Source organism: Homo sapiens, chromosome 3 (assembly GCF_000001405.40).
Source record: "Homo sapiens chromosome 3, GRCh38.p14 Primary Assembly".
In the NCBI taxonomy this organism is placed as follows: Eukaryota; Metazoa; Chordata; class Mammalia; order Primates; family Hominidae; genus Homo; species Homo sapiens.
The window spans coordinates 164,649,955-164,669,288 of NC_000003.12; the positions used below are offsets into that span (position 1 = coordinate 164,649,955).

Genomic DNA, 19,334 nt, shown 5'->3' on the forward strand with positions numbered 1-19,334 from the left:
CCATGCACCTGTAAAAGCCACAGACTCTCAATGCCCAGCCTGTGAAAGCAGCTGGGAGGGAGATTGTACACTGCAAAGCCACAGGGGTAGGGCTGCCCAAGACCAGGGGAACCCACTTCTTGCTTCAGCATGACTTGGATGTGGGACATGGTGTCAAAGGAGATTATCTGGGAGCTTTAAGATTTGACTGCCCCACTGGATTTCGAACTGCATGGGGCCTGTAGGCCTTTGTTGTGGCCAACTTCTCCTATTTGGAATGGCTATATTTACCCAATTCCTGTACCCCTACTGTATCTAGGAAGTAACTAACTTGGTTTTGATTTTCCAGGTTCATAGGCAGAAGGGACTTGGCTTATCTCAGATGAGACATTGGACTATGGACTTTTGAGTAATTGCTGAAATGAGTTAAGACTTTGGGGGGCTGTTGGGAAGGTATGATTAGTTTTGAAATGTGACGACATGAGATTCAGAGGGGCCAGGAGTGGAATGATATGGTTTGGCTGTTTCCCAACCCAAATCTCATCTCAAATTCTCACGTGTTGTGAGAGGAACCTGGTGGGAGGTAACTGAATCATGGGCCAGGTCTTTCCCGTGCTGTTCTCATGATAGCAAATAAGTCTCATGAGATCTGATAGTATTATGATACTATCAGGGGGAGTTTCCCTGCCCAATCTCTCTCTTTGCCTGCTGCCATCCACATAAGATGTTACTTGCTCCTTCTTGCCTTCTGCCATGATTGTGAGGCTTTGCCAGCCATGCGGAACTATAAGTCCAATTAAAGCTCTTTCTATTGTAAATTGCCCAGTCTGGGGCACGCTTTTATCAGTAGTGTGAAAACAAACTAATACAGGTGAGTCTGCTTTCCCCAGCCCACTGACTCAAATGTTAATCACTTCTGGCAACACCCTCACAAACATACCCAGGATCAATACTTTGCATCCTTCAATCTAATCAGGTTGACACTCAGTATGAACCATCATACTCCCTAATCCCCACGTGTCATCCTTTGGATCAAGGGTGGAGGTATTTGGATCATGGGTGTGGTTTCCCCCATGCTGTCCTCATGATAGTGAGTTTCAAGAGATCCGATGGTTTTATAAGCATCTGCCATTTCCGCTGCTTGCGCTCACTCAGTCCTGCTGCCCTGTGAAGAAGGTACCTACTTCTCCTTTGCCTTCTGCTATGATTGTAAGTTTCTTGAAGCCTCCCCAGCCATGCAGAACCATGAGTCAATTTAAAACCTCCTTCTTTTGTAAATTACCCAGTCTCAGGTATTTTTTCATAGCAGCATGAGAATGGGCCAATACATTGGCTCACAGTTCTGCAGGCTGTACTGGAAACATGGCTTCTAGTGAGGCCTTCGGAAGCTTCTACTTATGGCAGAAGGTGAAGTGGAAGCTTGCATGTCCCATGGTGAAAACAGGAGCAAGAAAGAGTGAGTCCGGGAAGAGGTGCCACACACACTTTCAAATTACCAGAAGTCCCGAGAACTCACTATTATGAAGACAGCACCAAGCCATGAGGAATCTGCCCCCATGATTCAAACACCTCCCACCAGACCCCACCTCCAGAACTGTGGGTTACAATTCAACATCAGACTTGGGCAGGAACAAATATCCTAGCTATATCAGTAGATATGAAGTCGTTTGTGAGAACGAAGGAGGAAGATAACAACTCCGTCTTCAGAACTGAGGTAGCCTGCAAGTAGCACTAATGTTTACAACCAGACCTTGAGGGATAGGTAGGATTTTAGTTGTTCTACGGTTAAAAAGAGAATATTCCAAAAATGAAAATCACCTGAACAAAGACATAGAGGTAAAGTAGGTGACATGGTGGCAGGACTATTTATGGTCTGTATTGCGGGAATATAGAGCCTAGAATTTCCCAGCAGTGTAGAGTAAGAGATACAGCTAGGTAAAATAAGAGCATGAGGATAGATTTAGAGACAATAACCATTAAGTTTGCATTTATTTATATATTTATGGATGAAGTTTAACTTATTTCTGGTAATTTTTTAAAAAGCTTCGGTGTGGTCAAACATTTCTAACTACAGTAATGGCATTATCAGATGTGTGTCTGTTTTTAAGCATGATCACAGGTAACCATGTGAAGTTTGCCATTAGATTTATTACCACAGATGGCAAAGCCTGTATTTTGGACCAGACAACTTTCATAAGTAATGTGATGGATACGTATATACCGAGAGATTTCTGACTAAATTTTCAGTCTTTTTTTCTTCCATGTGGTTGGTCAGATTGAATTTTAGCAACTGTAATGTGCCAATGAACCCTGGCATTTAAGTTAATAGGGTAAAAATGAAGACACAGCGTGCTCTCTGAATGGTTGTAACAGCTTGCTGGATCATCAATCATGAAGCAGCTCATGCTAGGAATAAACAACAAAGAAAAATACAAACAATAGTTGGTAAGAAAGGGGTGTCGCTGCATTTAAACAGGCATAGGAATATATTTGTAACATTAAAATGTCAGAAAATAGCGTATGTATACTCATAGAATATTTGAAAGGCTGTGTTATAAATGTTTGTATTCTAAGGGTGATAATATACAATATTTTAAAAAATTAATTTCCTAGCTCACCATTATTTTAATAAAATAAAAAGTAAGTTGAACATTTCTATAAAATTAAATTTAACAATTCCATTTATGTTCAAATGATTTCATTATTTTACGATGTCACTGGTATGTTGAGCAATATTTCTATGAGACTCTTGTTTCAAATTAAGTCTTGTTTCAGAAAGAAAATTACATGATCTTATTTAACAGAAATATACTTAGTAGAAATGCCTTTTCAAATCCTTTCTAATATTAAAAATAGTTTAAAATGTATTTCCTTTAGAGGATCCAAAATAATTATTTGTATTAATAAGAAGTTTAAAATATAGTTAGCTTTCTCAGTAGAGAAAGAATATTTTTTGTGCCATTAGGTTAAGTCCAGTTTCAAACTCTCACATCCTTAGGAAAATATTGTCTTATTTTTCTTAAATATTTATCTAACAGGGAACTAACCATTTTCAAAAGGAAATCATTCAAGTAAAATAAGAGGAATCTAAAACACACGTAACTTTAATTATCAAATAAGATACAGCACCTGAATTACATGTGAATATTGTAAGTAAATGATAATAATACCATAAGTTTTTCTTGTAATATTTCTCTACCAAGTCAAGAAATGTTCATTTGTTAATTTTTATTCATTCATTCATTTATTCATTCAACAAAACTTACCTCTGGGAAAATAGTAGGGATGTAACACACACAATGGTAAAGCAATTATAGGGGTTTCCACTATAAATATGAAAATAAGGTAAATATGCTTCATTTATATGATGGTGTTATTAGACTATGTTGGGGAAAATTCTGCCTTATCCATTACTGCAAACATATAGCAATGGTTGATGAATTAAAACAACACAGTGCTACATTTAAAAACGAGGATATCTGTGATTTAAAATTCAAAGCACTGAACAAGGCAGAAAGTATAGGCTGCTGAGGTCTGTCTTCCAAAAGCAGGTAGATATGGCAAGAAGTGTAGAACAATGGAAATTCAAAGTTATTTATATCAGTGGCAGACAGATAAAAAGAGCTTGATACAGAATACCTGCATCCAGAAATGGGAAGGGGTTCCCCTACTCAAGAACACATCTAAAGAAAAATTCAAGCTAAGGGCTATTTGAGCAATGACTTATTTGGAGCTACAAATGTGGACAAGAGTACAACACATTATATCCAAAATTTGGCAAATTTACTGATGGCTTGCTCATTGGATCTAATTTATTTTCAATATTCCCATCCCTCTAAGAAAAGGGAGATAGTTAAAGTCCTTCAATATATTTCAAAAGTGGTAACTCCACAGAAACTAAAAATAAGAAAATACGAAACTACTAGACAAATGTCAATGCAGAAAAGACAGGACAAAAAGGAGAGAAAATAAGTGTTCCACCCCTAGTAAAGCTGAAAATCAAAATTCATGAAGATTTTGAGGAAACAGATGACTAAATCTATTACCAAAACAGGAATTGAAATATAATTTTGACAAAAATAATAACGGATATAAGTGAAAATAAAACTTGAAATAAACATGGTTAGCTTACTAAAACAAAAACATGACAACTAAAATAAGCAAAAAAAATGGAATCAAACACCACCACAAATTTCCAAGATGTTATAAAACAATGATAGTAAGTAATAAAATAAATAAGAATGGATATAAAGACTATTGGACAGGCGTGGTGGCTCATGCTTGTAATCTCAGCACTTTGGGAGGCCGAGGTGGGCAGATCACCTGAGGTCAGGAGTTTGAGACCAGCCTGACCAACATGGTGAAGCCCCATCTCTACTAAAAATAAAACAATTTACTGAGCACAGTGGCGCACACCTGTAATCCTTGGGATTTAAGTTGAACTATATTTCTATGCCATCAACAATATTTGTTTCCATTTTTTGACTCCATATTTTTGAACTGTTATTTTGAATGTCTATATTTGAATAGTGAATGAGATTGAGATTCTCTCTCTTTATCTGTATTTATTTGGAGCCTAATTAGCTTAGGACAATCAGGGATAAATCTGTAGTTTAAGAAAGCCAGGGATGATGACTTATACCAGGGAAATCACAGTCTAAAGCCACCATGGACATCTCACGAAAAACTGGAAAACATAAAGTAATTATGAGACTTTGGAGAAAGTTTGAATTTATGTAAAATTTAAATGAAGTGTTTTGATTGGCTCAAATCAAAGTAGGGCTGTTTGTAAAGAGGCTTTACAAACTTGGGAGGCTGAGGCAGGAGAAACTCTTGAACCCGGGAGGCTGAGATTGCAGTGAGCCGAAATCATGCCATCGCATTCCAGCCTGGGTTACAGAGCGAGACTCTGCCTAAAAACAACAACAACAACAAACTATCAATTACTTATCATGAAAATGAAAATGAGTCACTGAAAAACGAAAATAATATATCTGTATGTGTGTGTGTATATATGTGTGCGTTTATGTATTCTTTTTGTTTTTCAGTGATTGTTCTTCATTTTAATCATATTTATATATTTATATATATATTTCACTCTGTTTATGTATATGTTTGTGCATAACTAAAATTCAGTTGCTAACAATGGGTAGGGGGGGTAGAGGAGATTAGGATTAGGAGATATTAGCAATGTCTGTAACATTATGTTCCTTAAAGAAAAGCAAATATGAAGCATAATTAGCAAAATGACAATACTTTTTGAAGCGTGTTAGTAGGACCACAGGTGGTTTTATTTTATTAGATTATCTTCTACACATATCTATATTCTTGAAACTATAACATTGAAAACAAAAAATAGAAAGCACGTTGTTAACAATGTGGATGATTACACTTTTCTAAAGTGGGACATCAATATAACTGAAGTTTTGCAGACAATTAAATATTTGGTATTAAAACAGGCAGGAACAGTAAAAGTATAAAATTATTATATGTGTGTTTATGTCTGTATGAAACTGTTAGTCTGTGAATTTATAATATCTCATTAGTTTATAATATAAATGTATTATTACCAATGTACGTATGTGTTGATATATAAATGTATGCATGTTTGTATACATGTATAAATACAAATATATATGAGAAGTGGAGAGAGAGACAGATAATCAGCTACAAATGGGAAAGCATAAATCTGCTCTTGCATTAATCAGGCTGGAATGACAGGTGAAGATAAAGCTAGCTACTGAGTTAACAAGTAACTTTTTTTTTTTGGCCAAGATCACTCTGCAACTTTAAAGAATCATAGCATACGTTTGAGTGACTATTTCTTTCTTATTTATAGCAAAATTTTGTTCTCTATTTCCAAAATGGAAAACTACCAGAAACTCTGTTGTTTAAAATTACATCAGTATAAATGCACTATCTTAGTCTTACCTGGCGGATCTACCTGGGGCTTTGACACAGAGAAGCTGTCTTGATTTCCAGTCCTGTTGGGGAACGTCAGATAAGGGGTTTATGAACACAGCATTTCACATTCATCATTAGTTTATAGTTTTCAAAGAAAGAGAAGTCTGGATTCCCCTTGCAGTCCCATGTTCACATTGACCCCTTTACAAACAGACCTACTTTGATTTGAGCCAATCAAAACACTTCAATTAAATTTTACATAAATTCAAACTTTCTCCAAAGTCTCATAATTACTTTATGTTTTCCAGTTTTTCGTGAGATGTCCGTGGTGGCTTTAGACTGTGATTTCCCTGGTATAAGTCATCATCCCTGGCTTTCTTAAACTACAGGTTTATCCCTGATTGTCCTAAGCTAATTAGGCCCCAGATAAATACAGAGATAGAGAGATAATCTCAATCTCATTCACTATTCAAATATAGACATTCTAAATAATAGTTCAAAAATATGGAGTTAAAAAATGGAAACAAATATTGTTGATGGCATAGAAATATAGTTCAACTTCAAAAATCTGACAGTGTAATACATCAAATTAATTGACATTAAAAAAATTACCTCAATACATGCTGAAAAGCACTTAATATAATTCAGTACACATTCATGGCATTAAAGACAGGTTCTTAGCAAACTGTGAATCAAAATGAACTTTATTAACATAACTAAGGCCATCTAATATATACAGAAACAATCACTAATAATAAAGATACTATGGAATAAATTCCTACTAAATTTAAGAGCAAGACATATTTCATGGTTTCTATGATGTATTGTCCTGAACAATGCAATTAAATAATAGAAAAGTAAATGTTAAAAACATAAATATAAAAAGGAGAATAAACTCTAATTTTTATATGAGAACTTTTAAAATGTTAGTATAAGATGGACAAGTGAACTTTTCAGGATACAAGATCAACATTTAAAATTTGATAATTTCTATTTACCAGCAATTCAAAATGTATCATCAACAAAATGTTTTATTCTCATTTTTATGTTAGTGGTTTGTTTTTTTTTTTTGAGTCGGGGCTTCACTCTTGTTCCCCAGGCTGGAGTGCAATGGCTCGATCTTGGCTCACTGCAACCTCCGCCTCCAGCGTTCAAGTGATTCTCCTGCCTCAGCCTCCTGAGTAGCTGGGATTACAGGTATCTGCCACCATGCCTGGCTAACTTTTTGTATTTTTAGTAGAGACGAGGTTTCACCATGTTGGCCAGACTGGTCTTGAACTCCTGACCTCAAGTGATCCACCCACCTGGGCCTCCCAAAGTGCTGGGATTACAGGCGTGAGCCACCGTGCCCGGCCTGGCCTTTGTTTGTGTTTTTAACATTTACTTTTCAATTGTCTCATTGCCTTGGTCATCACAATACATAATAGAAACCATGAAATACGGCTCCCATGTTTTCTTTTTAAAGGAACTCAAGAAGCCTATCCTAACTGTAACATAAAAGTAAATGGCTAAGAATAGGCAGGACAATTTGCAGAATAAAATACGGAAATGTCTCTGTCAAATTTCGAGACATGCTATTAGCTTAGTAATTCAAACTATGTTATTATGAAATAAACATAGAGAAATAGATCACAGATACAGAATAAAGAACCTAGAAGCAGACCTACACATTTAGAGGAATTCCGTCTGTGACAGAGATGATTTTACAAATCAGTAGAAAGAGAACAGTTTATCTAATAAATGGTTCTGAAACAATGGGTTATTAAGATAAAAGATGATATACTTCTGAGGCCTTTTAATATTTACCTGGTTTTGTTTAGAAATAAAATATTTCACTTTTGTGTTCATTTACGAACAACTTTCTTAAGCCTTATGATATAGTTTTAATTCATCTTTAATGAAGGAAGTACAGTGACTGGGACATCTGAAGTCTATATTTAATACCCAGAACCATTTTGAATTATTCTAAGTTTGGAATCATGCCTGTGTTTCAAGTTGCCAAGAGTCTGATCTCCAGATGGTGAGATCGTAGGACATTACATATTTTGCATTAGAATTTTAGAGTCTTTTACAGTAGCTCTTTATTAAATCAAGGAACTGTAACTTTTGCTCTCACAGAATATCGTAAACAATAATTTTTTCCAAAGAGTGACCTGAAGCCTAGGCAGGTATAATTATTTGCACTATTTGACTCAAGTGTGTGTGTGAGAGAGTAAATAGTTCTATTCTTCTGGATCTATTTCATTATTTTCCAAACTAAATTACACATACTATTTTTAAATGTTTGTACCTAAAATTTGCAAAGAAAAAAATAAGTGCGTCCTACACATTTTGTGAGGGTAGAAAAAAGGTAAAGTGGGTAAGGAAAGAAGACTGTCTTTTAAATTTAAGGTTAGAATTGCTGAAAATAGGGCTATGTCTTAAGGAATTGCAGGGTGGAGTGTCTGGATGCAGATCAGCAGCAATTCTGCCATCTGGAAGCTTTAATTCCCTGCAGCTAGACACTTTTAAAAAGCTGCTCATCTCTTAAGGTAAACTTAGCATTTCTGCTGTCCTGGCAACTATGTACTTGGTGCTCAGGCTGCCTCTGGCTATTAAGTTATTCTTGTCAGATTATCTCCTCCCCCAAACTGGAGCCCATGGAGTGAGGCTTGGGCTAGGTGCAGCATGCAGCAAACCTGCATCAAGGACAGATATAGCTGAACAACTCACTGGCTGCCTTTCCTGAAGATGTCGGGAGCAAGGTAGAAGTAGCGTCTTGGGGAAAAACCACAGTTATGCTCAGGAAAACCTTGCAATAAAGCTTTCATATACAAAGAACAGGGGAAAGGGGAGAGGGCAGAGGGACAGAGATTGAAAACCTAATTATCAAAGAAAGAAATTGAGACTGGGAAACAAAAACAAAAACAAAATTTAGTGCTTAAACACAAATTGTAGGGCAAAATCTTAAGCTTAACATCATAGCTTTAAGTGCCTTTAATAAAGTACCCATGGTGTCAGGCATGGAGAAAAAGTGAACTATTTATAAAGTAGAGGCATTGTCTGGACAATTTAATTCATTCCTCAAGATACTTGACTTGAAAAATATTTAAAGAGCCTCTTTCATTTATTTTATTTACAAAAAATGCTCTCTTTATAGACAGCTAGATAGATGTTGATATAGATATATAAAATGTATAGTCATCTCTAACCAGGGAATTGGTTACAGGACTCCTATGGATAACAAAATTTATGAATGTTCAAGTTTTTACGTAAACCTTAAATCATCTCTAGATTACTTGTAGCACTAAATACAATGTAAATGCTATGTAAATTTATTTTAAAACATTTGGTTTTTTATATTTTTTATTGTTGTTTGATATTTCATTTTTTATAAATATTTTTCATCTGTGGTTAAATTTGTGAGTGTAAAACCTGCAAATACAGAAAGCAGACTGTGTACATAAATGGATGATTACAATGGCAAACTCACTGTTTATTGATATAATGATATAATGAAATATATCAATTATAATGAAATAAACAACAGATAAGGAGATAATTTTACAAAGATGTTTTTATAAAAGCTTTGACTTGAAATAAAGCTGGTTCCTTTAGGGATTCACATGAGTAAATGCTTTCCAATTGTCAATAAGCAGTTATAATCTGGTTAAAAACAAAAGAATAACCACAATAAAGCATGAGAATCAAGGTACTTAAAAAATTGCTAGCTCTACCATAGAAAGTCACATATAATAAGTGTATATCACATTTATTTATATAATTAAGGACATAAAGAGTTTTGAACTATGGGGAAGTTTTATTTTTAGAAGACAGTGTTTTAAGTATTTTAATTAATCTGTTCCTTACATTCATCAGGATTATTAATTGCAAGCATCAGATATTTGTTTTGGCTAATTTAAACAGAAAGGGAATTCAGATAAAAATGTTGATAGCTTACACAAGTTATGGGGGATCTCTGGAATCAACTTCAGAGGCTATGTAGCCAAGGGTAACATCAAAAGTTAGTTATATCACATAATAAATGCACCAATGCTCCTTTGCTAATAATGTCCTTGTGTTAGTCCATTTCATTCTGTTATAATAGAATACCATATATTGGTTAATTTATTAAAAAATTATTTCTTACAGTTGTGTAGCATGAGAATTTCAACATAGGGACACCCAAATCTGATGAGATCCTTCTTTTTGCATCATTCCGTGGTACAAGGCTAAAGGATAAGAGAGCCAGAGAGCAAGAGGAAGCCGAACTTGCTTTTATAAAAAGCCCACTGCTGTGATGACTACACTCATGAGATAAAAACATAAATTCATTCATGAGGGCAGATCCCTCATGACGTATTCACCTCTTTTTAGGCCCCACCTCCCAACACTGTTGCATTGGGCATTAAGTTTTCAATGCTTGAATTTGGGGGGATACATTCAGACCATAGCTGTCATTTAGTACAGACGCTTCAATATGCATCTCTGATTCCACCAGCTCTGCACACTGAGAGCATTGCTCAAACCATTTCCAGTGCTGCCACCCGAATGTAGATGTAGCTGTCTTCCCTGGTGCAGACCTCAGGAGAACAGCTTCCTCACACTTACTAGTTTTTGTATTTCCAACTCCAAAAGGTGCAAGTGATTGAAGAGGTCTATGTCATATGCCAGCACCTTGACTGCTGGTGTACCTAAGATAACAAGTAACAAGCAATTACTTGGGAAACGGACTATACCTTATTACTTGTGGTAATTCATGCTCAATGGCTCTACAGCCTCTTAATTGTATACATGGATATGATTTAGAGTATACTTTTCTTTACAGGATGTATCAGTTTTATTCAAAAACACTCCTATCTTGTAAGAGTTTAATGTTCTCAAATTTGATACAATATTCTCAGAGATTGTTTACCTCCTAGTTCGAATTTTCTTGCTGGCCTTTTACATATTACTACTATGCTCAGGAATATTTTAACACATAGTTCAAGTATTCACAATGGATTTGTGCCATACACTTTTAATTAGAATGAATATATTTTATTGGAGCCAAACATTTCACTTTAGTTTGATGGAGAAATTTACAACCGTCAGTCAAGTCATTTACTAAAATATCATCTAATAGGCCAGACACTGCAGCCCAGCTATTCAGGAAGCTGAGACAGGTGGGGGAATTTCATGAGCCCCATAGTTCAAGTCCAGCCTAAGCAACATAGCAAGACCTCTGTATCAAAAACAAAACAAAACAAAACAAAACAAAAACCTGCTATGACTAGATAACTATGAAGCTTTGGAGTGATATAAACATTATTTTTGATTTATAACTTAAAAACAAAAACACAGTCAATTTCTCATTTCTGAGTTTGATCTCTTTCTCTTATTTGATTCCATTCCTAATATTTTTAGCCTGTGAAAAACAGCAGCATTATTCTAGCAAATATTAACATTTCTATCAAGTACATAGTCTCACTAAGTAAAAATTGGCTGATAGATATGAATTATTACAATGAAAAATTCATCGAAACGTGCTATTTGTCTTAATTGTATAGGTCAAAGAATGCTATGTGGATTCAATAAACGTATAAACCAAATACAGACAGATTAATGCCTTTATTTCTCAACATTCAGATAATTGAACATAGTATCCCACACATTTCTCTTAGACCCACACAGGTTTTTAATTCATTGTTATTATCAAAACAACAGTATCATTAGAACAAAGTTCAGGTAAATGGTTTAAAATTTTAATAAAAAATTAAGAGTATACCGTAATAGTGATTCTATACCTCATAGAATTTAGTCTGGGATTAACTGTCTACATAGACACTGGTAAGAGGAACCATTATTGTGGCCCTCACACTCTAGATAAACCTGTATATCACAAGCACATATATGAAATAAATACATTGAAGAAAATATAGATGACATTTAAATTCAGTGCTGCGCTCAAGGACATCATATATTGGAACATTCTCTGTCATTACCAACATGCAGATCCACATCCTCAAAGCCAAAGGTGATAATCCCAAAGCATGAAAGTCTGTGGATTCTGCTGCTACTGAACCTGGAATCAGACACTGCTTGTGAATGTGGAGGATCTGAATTACAGAAACAGTTAAAAGATAAATCCATTATCAAATAATTTTTTCTCAGTTTCAGGGATAAAAATAGATTATTGCAAAACAAAAACAAAAGCAAAAACAAACTGATGTAATTTTAAAATGAATGTTTTCAGCCACAGTTATTTCAAATATGTTTTATTCTAGTCCTCCCCACCTCCGTCAATAACTCCAAATATACACACACTAGTGCTGTTGTACCTGATTTTCTGTTCAATTTTTTTTTTCAATACAGTTGGTCCTCTGTATCCATGGGTTTTCAATCCATTGTCAACTGAATGCTCGAATGCAAAATTCAGGGATACTGAGGTTCAACTGTATCACTTCTCAGTTGAGATTAATGTCCATTTTCTTGCTTATTTTTGTGTTCCAGTTTGTCTGAAGGAATTGAGAATCTTTTGTACAAAGTGGCTGAGAAACATTTTGCCCTATTTTATAAATCACGTTATTCTGAAAATTGGATAGATAGATCTAGATAAAACATTCAAGATACATGGTCCCAATTCTTAACATAGCCATCTATAGAGACACTGAACATTAGAATTGTAAGTAAAGCCATTTCATTTTTATCAAGATATTTTTAAAGACTTGTAATTATGTTTTTATAAATTCACTTTTAAATATTCAATTTTAATTATTTAGATAAAAAAACTATGACTCAACTATAATGTATATTTTCCTTTCAATATTAATATAACATTTGAAGAAAAACATGTATAATAGTTTAATTTTTTTAATTTTAAATTTATTTTACATTCAATTTTTATATTTCAAACATAATTATGTCTTGATTTTGACTTTTTTAGGGAATTATTGTTAATAGTCATTTTGACTAAATAAATGCAAAAAATATATAAGTAATATTTTATAAATAATGCAGATTTTTATTTTATTACTTATCCAAGTAACAAAGATAAGCATACTGTTTTCCTCAGCTTGACTAAACTACAGACATGTTTCTTCCCATCTCTAGACCTTGCTCTCACCCTGACCATTACAATATGTAAATCCAAATAAAGTAATCTCAGAGGTCTCTTCCTTCTCTTTTCTTGAAGTATTTACTTTTAAAAACTTGCCATTATAAATTTTCTCTGCCCCTATGAGATGTAAAACTTTGTAAAAAGCCTCTGGCCAATTTTACAATCCAGGACTGTCTTTTTCAAGAATATGACAGCCATGCCTTTGAAATATAATTATGAAAGAAGATAGAACCCTTATCTCTTACTCTCTGTGAGTAGGAGCCTATCTTCTGTGGATACTTTTATCTTACTTATAAAACTATTTCCTACTATGACAGTATGAGAAAGTTTACTTTTAATAAACACACATGTCCTACAATCCCTCCCTATTCCCCATCCTAACTTAGCTCTTTAAAACTCTCCAGGCCTCTATTTCAGTGGAGTGGAATCTAGGTTGCAGTCTCCCTCTCCTAATGTATTAGCCTTGAATACATTCTTCCTTGCCTGTTTAACTTTGCCCCATGTAATTTTTGCTTTGACACAGGTATCAGCAGAATCAAAATAATTAAATATACTTATCTTTGATAAATTCATGTTTTAAGTCATAATACAACTGCATATTTTTAAATTTTGTATAATTAACATATTTACCAAGGCAGAAGGAATGTTTTAATAATTTGGTGCATTACTTATATTTTGAAATATGTGGACATATGGTATGAAGTCTTCCTCGGCTCTGCAAATACCAAAATGTGGTTGAATCCTAAAATCTCTATGAGCTCTTAAGTTAGCCTCTGGATGTCTTTATAACAATGGCCATTAGAAAAGAAAATATGTATATACACACACATATACATACACATATATGTACATATATATACATACATATATGTGTATATACACATACATGTGTATATATATACATATATATACATACATGTGTATATATATACATATATATACATACATGTGTATATATATACATATATATACATACATGTGTATATATATACATATATATACATACATGTGTATATATATACATATATATACATACATGTGTATATATATATACATATATATACATACACTTCTCTATATATATACATACACATAAATGTGTATGTACACATCATTGTACATACACATATACGTGATGTAATGATGTACACATCATTAAACCTTGATAAAGTTTAGAATTCACACTATTTGTATTCACAACACATGCAAAATAAAGTGAAAATCAATATACATATATACATATGTGTATATATATAGATATAGAAAGTCAATATACATATATACATATATGTGTATGTATATATATATGTAAGAACAATTTAAGATAAATATGACAAATTTATGTGCGGAAGTAAATTTTGTATAAAGATGGTGTGGGAAATGATACCTACTAATCTTGATTAAATTCTGATTTATCCAAGGGCCATGGATGGTTGTACAGACTTTTACAGCTGATGAGGAGACCTCTTATGACTGTTTCTCTTGTCTTCACGTAAAAACACCTTCAAAAATAAAGCATTTTGTTTTTTTCTAAAAACATAATAGTTTCAATTAAAAAAGGTATTCCTGAAAATACCATATTAACCAGTTTGAATAATTTGAATGGTGCCTTTTCCTAATAAGTCGTTATGTTCTTAACAACACTGAAATATTCTTCTGTCAAAGTCAATTCTCCTCATGTCCAACATCTACTAATATTATCAGTTTTGCTCTTAAAATGTATTACTATCACCCAAATATTCCATCTCCAAACATCTTTACATTTAAGGAAAATAAAAAAAAGGAAGGGGGTGTCATAGAATATTCAGGCAACTATCATAATGGAATGTGATATGTTATATAACAGAGAGAGTTACTAGTAGTTTCTTTCATATAAATTGCCTTTAAAAATTGCACGTAATCAACCAGGTGCAGTAGCTCAAAGCTATACTCACAGCTTTTTGGGAGACTGAGGGAGGATCACTTGAGGCCAGGAGTTTAAGACCAGCCTGGGCAACACAGTGAGATCCCCTTCTCTTCATAACATTTTTTTAAAGATAAAATTATTGATAATAATCATTGCTCAATATGCATTTTTAAACAAAATTGAAGCACATTAGTGTAGTTTACAAATGTAAGATATGAAATTGTACATATTTTGGACTTCATCTGGACTTCATCATTTCATATTTATAAACTATTAAAAGAGAAACCTGGAAATCAAGTTATCTTATATTGTTTTATGAAAAAAAGGACTCCATTCAAGCAGGTATTATTACTTATGTATCGTTTCCCTACGAAAATAGGTTTTACACTGTTATTTATTATACTTATTGAATATCGTTGTGTGTATGTGATATCGCACATTCGTATAGAGCCTTCTGGTCCATAAATAATTTATGAAGCTATATAACTTGTTGCATTTCAAATATTATCTATTTGGGTAATGTATTTTAGAGACAATGTTAATAGGAAAATGATGCATCATATAAACATTTCTTAAGTAACCATTTTAAAAATGATTTAGGAGCTCAAAACACTTTCCTAAAAGTTGTATTCCTGTAGGGTTCTAACATAATGTACCAGGTTAGAGACTTCAATGGCCTGAGTAAATCTTGGAAAATTTATCATTAAACATAAGAGGACTGATGACATTATAAAAACAGTATTAACCTTATCCAAGCCTTACACAGAGATAAATTTTTTGTAAAACCTTTTTTAAAAACAAATATGATTCCAGCAAGATTATAATAATATCTTCAACTTTCTCCTAATTTTATTCTCTTCCCATAAATCAGTCTCATGAAGTATCTCTTTGTCATAGTCCTGACTGGTCCACTGAAAAAGTGCAGAATAAATATATTTTTATCATGCATTATGATCAGCTAAATTTCATTTAGAATATGTGACCTCCCTATGTTTAATATAGCATCATTGCATCATTAAACCTCGATAAAGTTTAGAATTCACACTATTTGTATTCACAACATATGCAAAATAAAGTGAAAATCAATGCACATGTTACAGTTTAATAATCTTAAATAAAAACATATAATGACAAATATATGTATAGGAATATTAACCAATTTTGAAGAAAATTTTAAAATAGACAATAAATAGCTGATCTCATGTCCTGGTTGATCTATTTTGAAGGAAATATGTAAGAAGAGGAGACAAAATATAGTGTGAGAATTAAGCACACTTAATCCAGAATTTATGTAGGTTGTATGACTTCTCTCAATTTTTTCCCAAATCTGTAATATACAAATAATAATGATTTTGCTTTGGTAGGTTTTTTGTGAGAATAAAAAAAATAATACATGAAAAACACTAGGAAACAACATGGTGAGGCTATTATTAATATGTTATAGGTATTTAATAATGTTTTAGTGTTAACAAAAGCATGACAGGTAATATAAAATAGAAAACAATTACATAATAGTGTCTATTATTTATAGTATCCTTTCTTGGATTAATACTAATTATTGTCTTTGAGCTCAAAATGAAGAAATGAAAATTTTTATTCCATATGTTTTTAATGGTGATGTTTTGATATAAGCTTTATATTTCATGGCATTTTGAATTGTTCTTCATTTCCTTTAAGTAAAGTTGAAAATAATTTAATGTAAAATTCTTCCTAATGGTGCCTACTTGCAAAAAGGATTCCCCTTATTAGTAACGTAGGAACACATGCCACATCTGCACAACGAAAAGTGAGTTAAGGAAAACAGGAAATGTATATGACTTGCTGAAGCTGAAAGCCCCCTCAATTTCATGACCATTTGAGCATGAAAATTGCTTAAAAATATTTATCGTTTCAAGTGAATAGATTTCACTCAGGGATGCAAATTGAGGACCAGGGGAGGTTAAAACTTATGAAAGTTCATAATTTACAGACTCTGGGCTAGAATTGAAAAATATATTTTCTGTGAATATTTATTCTCTAATATATAATTCAATAAACAATCAAGGAATTTGGGAAAGGACATTAGAAAAAAACTAACCCCTAAATAACTACCTTACAGTCATGTTCATATTTACCATCTATCGAATTAATTATGCAAGTTTCATTCTTCATGTCACTGACACTTAAAATTTGTACACACATGTGTGCACATGCAAGCATACATATACTCATCATTAAATAATTACCATGTACGTAGCCAGAGTTAATAGTAATGAAATCGAATGGAGGAAAATTAACGGATGCGGGGAATATGAACTCAAAATATTTTGGATTTGTTCTCAAAATATGAAGTCAGTTATTGGGAAAAAGGTAATGGGCAGCCTCATTACCAGTGATAATTATCCAAAAGAATAGTGTCACTTGGCAGGGCGTGGTGGCTGACACCTGTAATCCCAGCACTTTGGGAGGCTGAGGCGAGCAGATCTCCCGAGGTCCGGAATTCGAGACCAGCCTGACCAACATGGAGAAACCCCGTCTCTACTAAAAACACAAAATTAGCCGGGCGTGGTGCACATCCCTGTAATCCCAGCTACTCAGAAGGCTGAAGCAGGAGAATCGCTTGAACCCAGGAGGTGGAATTTGCAGTGAGCCGAGATCACGCCATTGCACTCCAGCCTGGGCAACAAGAGCGAAACTCCATCAAAAAAAATTAATAATAATAATAATAATCATGTCTCCAATAAGCAAATTGAAAAGAATCCATAGCTCAAAAGGCAAATGTCTTGAGGACTATCTCATAGTCTTTTTCAAAAAAATATAAACAGAGATGGGAAAAGATGTGCATAAAAGGCTCATCTGAGGTAAACATGGCAGAACTTGTGTATCAAGTAATTTCCAAATTACAAAGATTATGATAGTGGTGGTAGTGAGGAGACTTTCAATAAGTTTCTTCTGGTTATTAACTTCTAATTAAGAGTTGACATTGATGTAACAAACAACTCTGTAGTGCTAGACGTGGAAGAAGTCCAGGCAATGGACTTTGCCTCCACTAATGAAACCATAGTGGGGAAAATCAAGAGTGGCACATGGAATTCATGGATATAATTCCTCAAATGATAAACAAAACATTTACTTTATGTTTCTTATGAAACTCTTAGGAAGCCAAGATCATTAATGACAAACCATATTGGTACATATCAAGACTATTTATATCTAACTGCAGAAAAGACAGTGTTTTCCTGTGATTAGATCAAGATACATGTTTATTTGGTGACATCTTTTGTATATAAAGAGCCCTGCTAAATAAAGAGTAAAAGTAAAAGGGCCTTATTTTATTATATAATAATGACTCACTGCTTCTAGATTAGGGAATAAATGGAATCCAGAATTGTAAATTCCATGACAATAATGAAAGATATGAATGATTGACTCCTTTACATTTCAGTGATAAAGTTTCAAGAGTTATAGTTGTCTCAATTTCTGATCATATGTTACTGATCAAAAAGTTGTTAAAAGAATAAAAAATGTGAAGCGATCGCCTCCAAACCCATGGTGACCCAACAGTGACCTCTGCTATCTAATATTATCACTGCCAAATCTATTGACTTAGGAAGATAAACCCAATATATTGCACTAATCTTGATAAGTTGTATTTTCATTTTACTTAGTTCAAAATATTTTTTAAATTTCTCTTCAGATTTATTGTTCAAACCATGGGTTACTTAGAATTATGTTGTTTACTTTCCAGATATTTGGGGATTTTTCCAGCTGTTTTTCTGGTTTCCTATTCTATTTGATTCCTCTGTGATATGAGAAGATACTTTGTATAATTTCTATCCTACTAAATGTGTTACTTTGTGTTTTATGACAAAGAATATGGTCTTTTTTGATGAATGTTCCAACTCATCGATGATTCTTTGGATTTCTGCTGAATCGTTTGTAATGTCTCATGTTTCATCTCTAGTTTATTTGAACCTTCTCTCATTTTGTTCTTAGTCAGTTTTCTTTGTCTTTTACAAAAGTGACTTTTCCTTCTATTCATCTTTTGTGTTTTCTTTGATTCAATTTCATTTATTTCTGCTCTTCTGTCATTTCTTTTTCCTATAAATTTTGTGTTCGGTTTGCTGTTGTGTTTTTCTAGTCTTAATATACATCAGTAGGTTGTTTATTTGAAGTTTTCTACTTTTTTATTCCTTTATCTTTATGAATTATCTTCCTTAACCATTATTATGCAAAAATTACAAACATTCCTATAGACCAATAATAGACAAATAGAAAGCCAAATCATGAGTGAACTCCCATTCACAATTGCTACAAAGAGAATAAAATACCTAGGGATACAACTTACAAGGGATGTGAAGGACCTCTTCAAGGAAAACTACAAACCATGGCTCAAGGAAATAAGAGAGGACACAAACAAATGGAAAAACATTCCATGTTCATGGATAGGAAGAATCAATATCATGAAAACGGCCATACTGCTCAAAG

The 19,334-nt window shown here is 33.4% G+C and overlaps 2 long non-coding RNA genes across 3 annotated transcripts in view; one reads left to right on the forward strand and one right to left on the reverse strand.

Annotated features, from left to right (window-relative positions):
* LOC105374191 (uncharacterized) overlaps positions 1–19,334 on the forward strand; it is a 237,185-nt gene that overhangs the window by 199,268 nt on the left and 18,583 nt on the right. The window lies entirely within an intron of this gene.
* On the reverse strand, positions 1,939–10,557 carry LOC107986151 (uncharacterized). The gene is made up of 3 exons (XR_001741002.2): positions 10,474–10,557; positions 5,911–5,963; positions 1,939–2,385 (listed from the first exon to the last, which is right to left on the reverse strand). It is a non-coding gene; the product is annotated as an uncharacterized LOC107986151 (long non-coding RNA).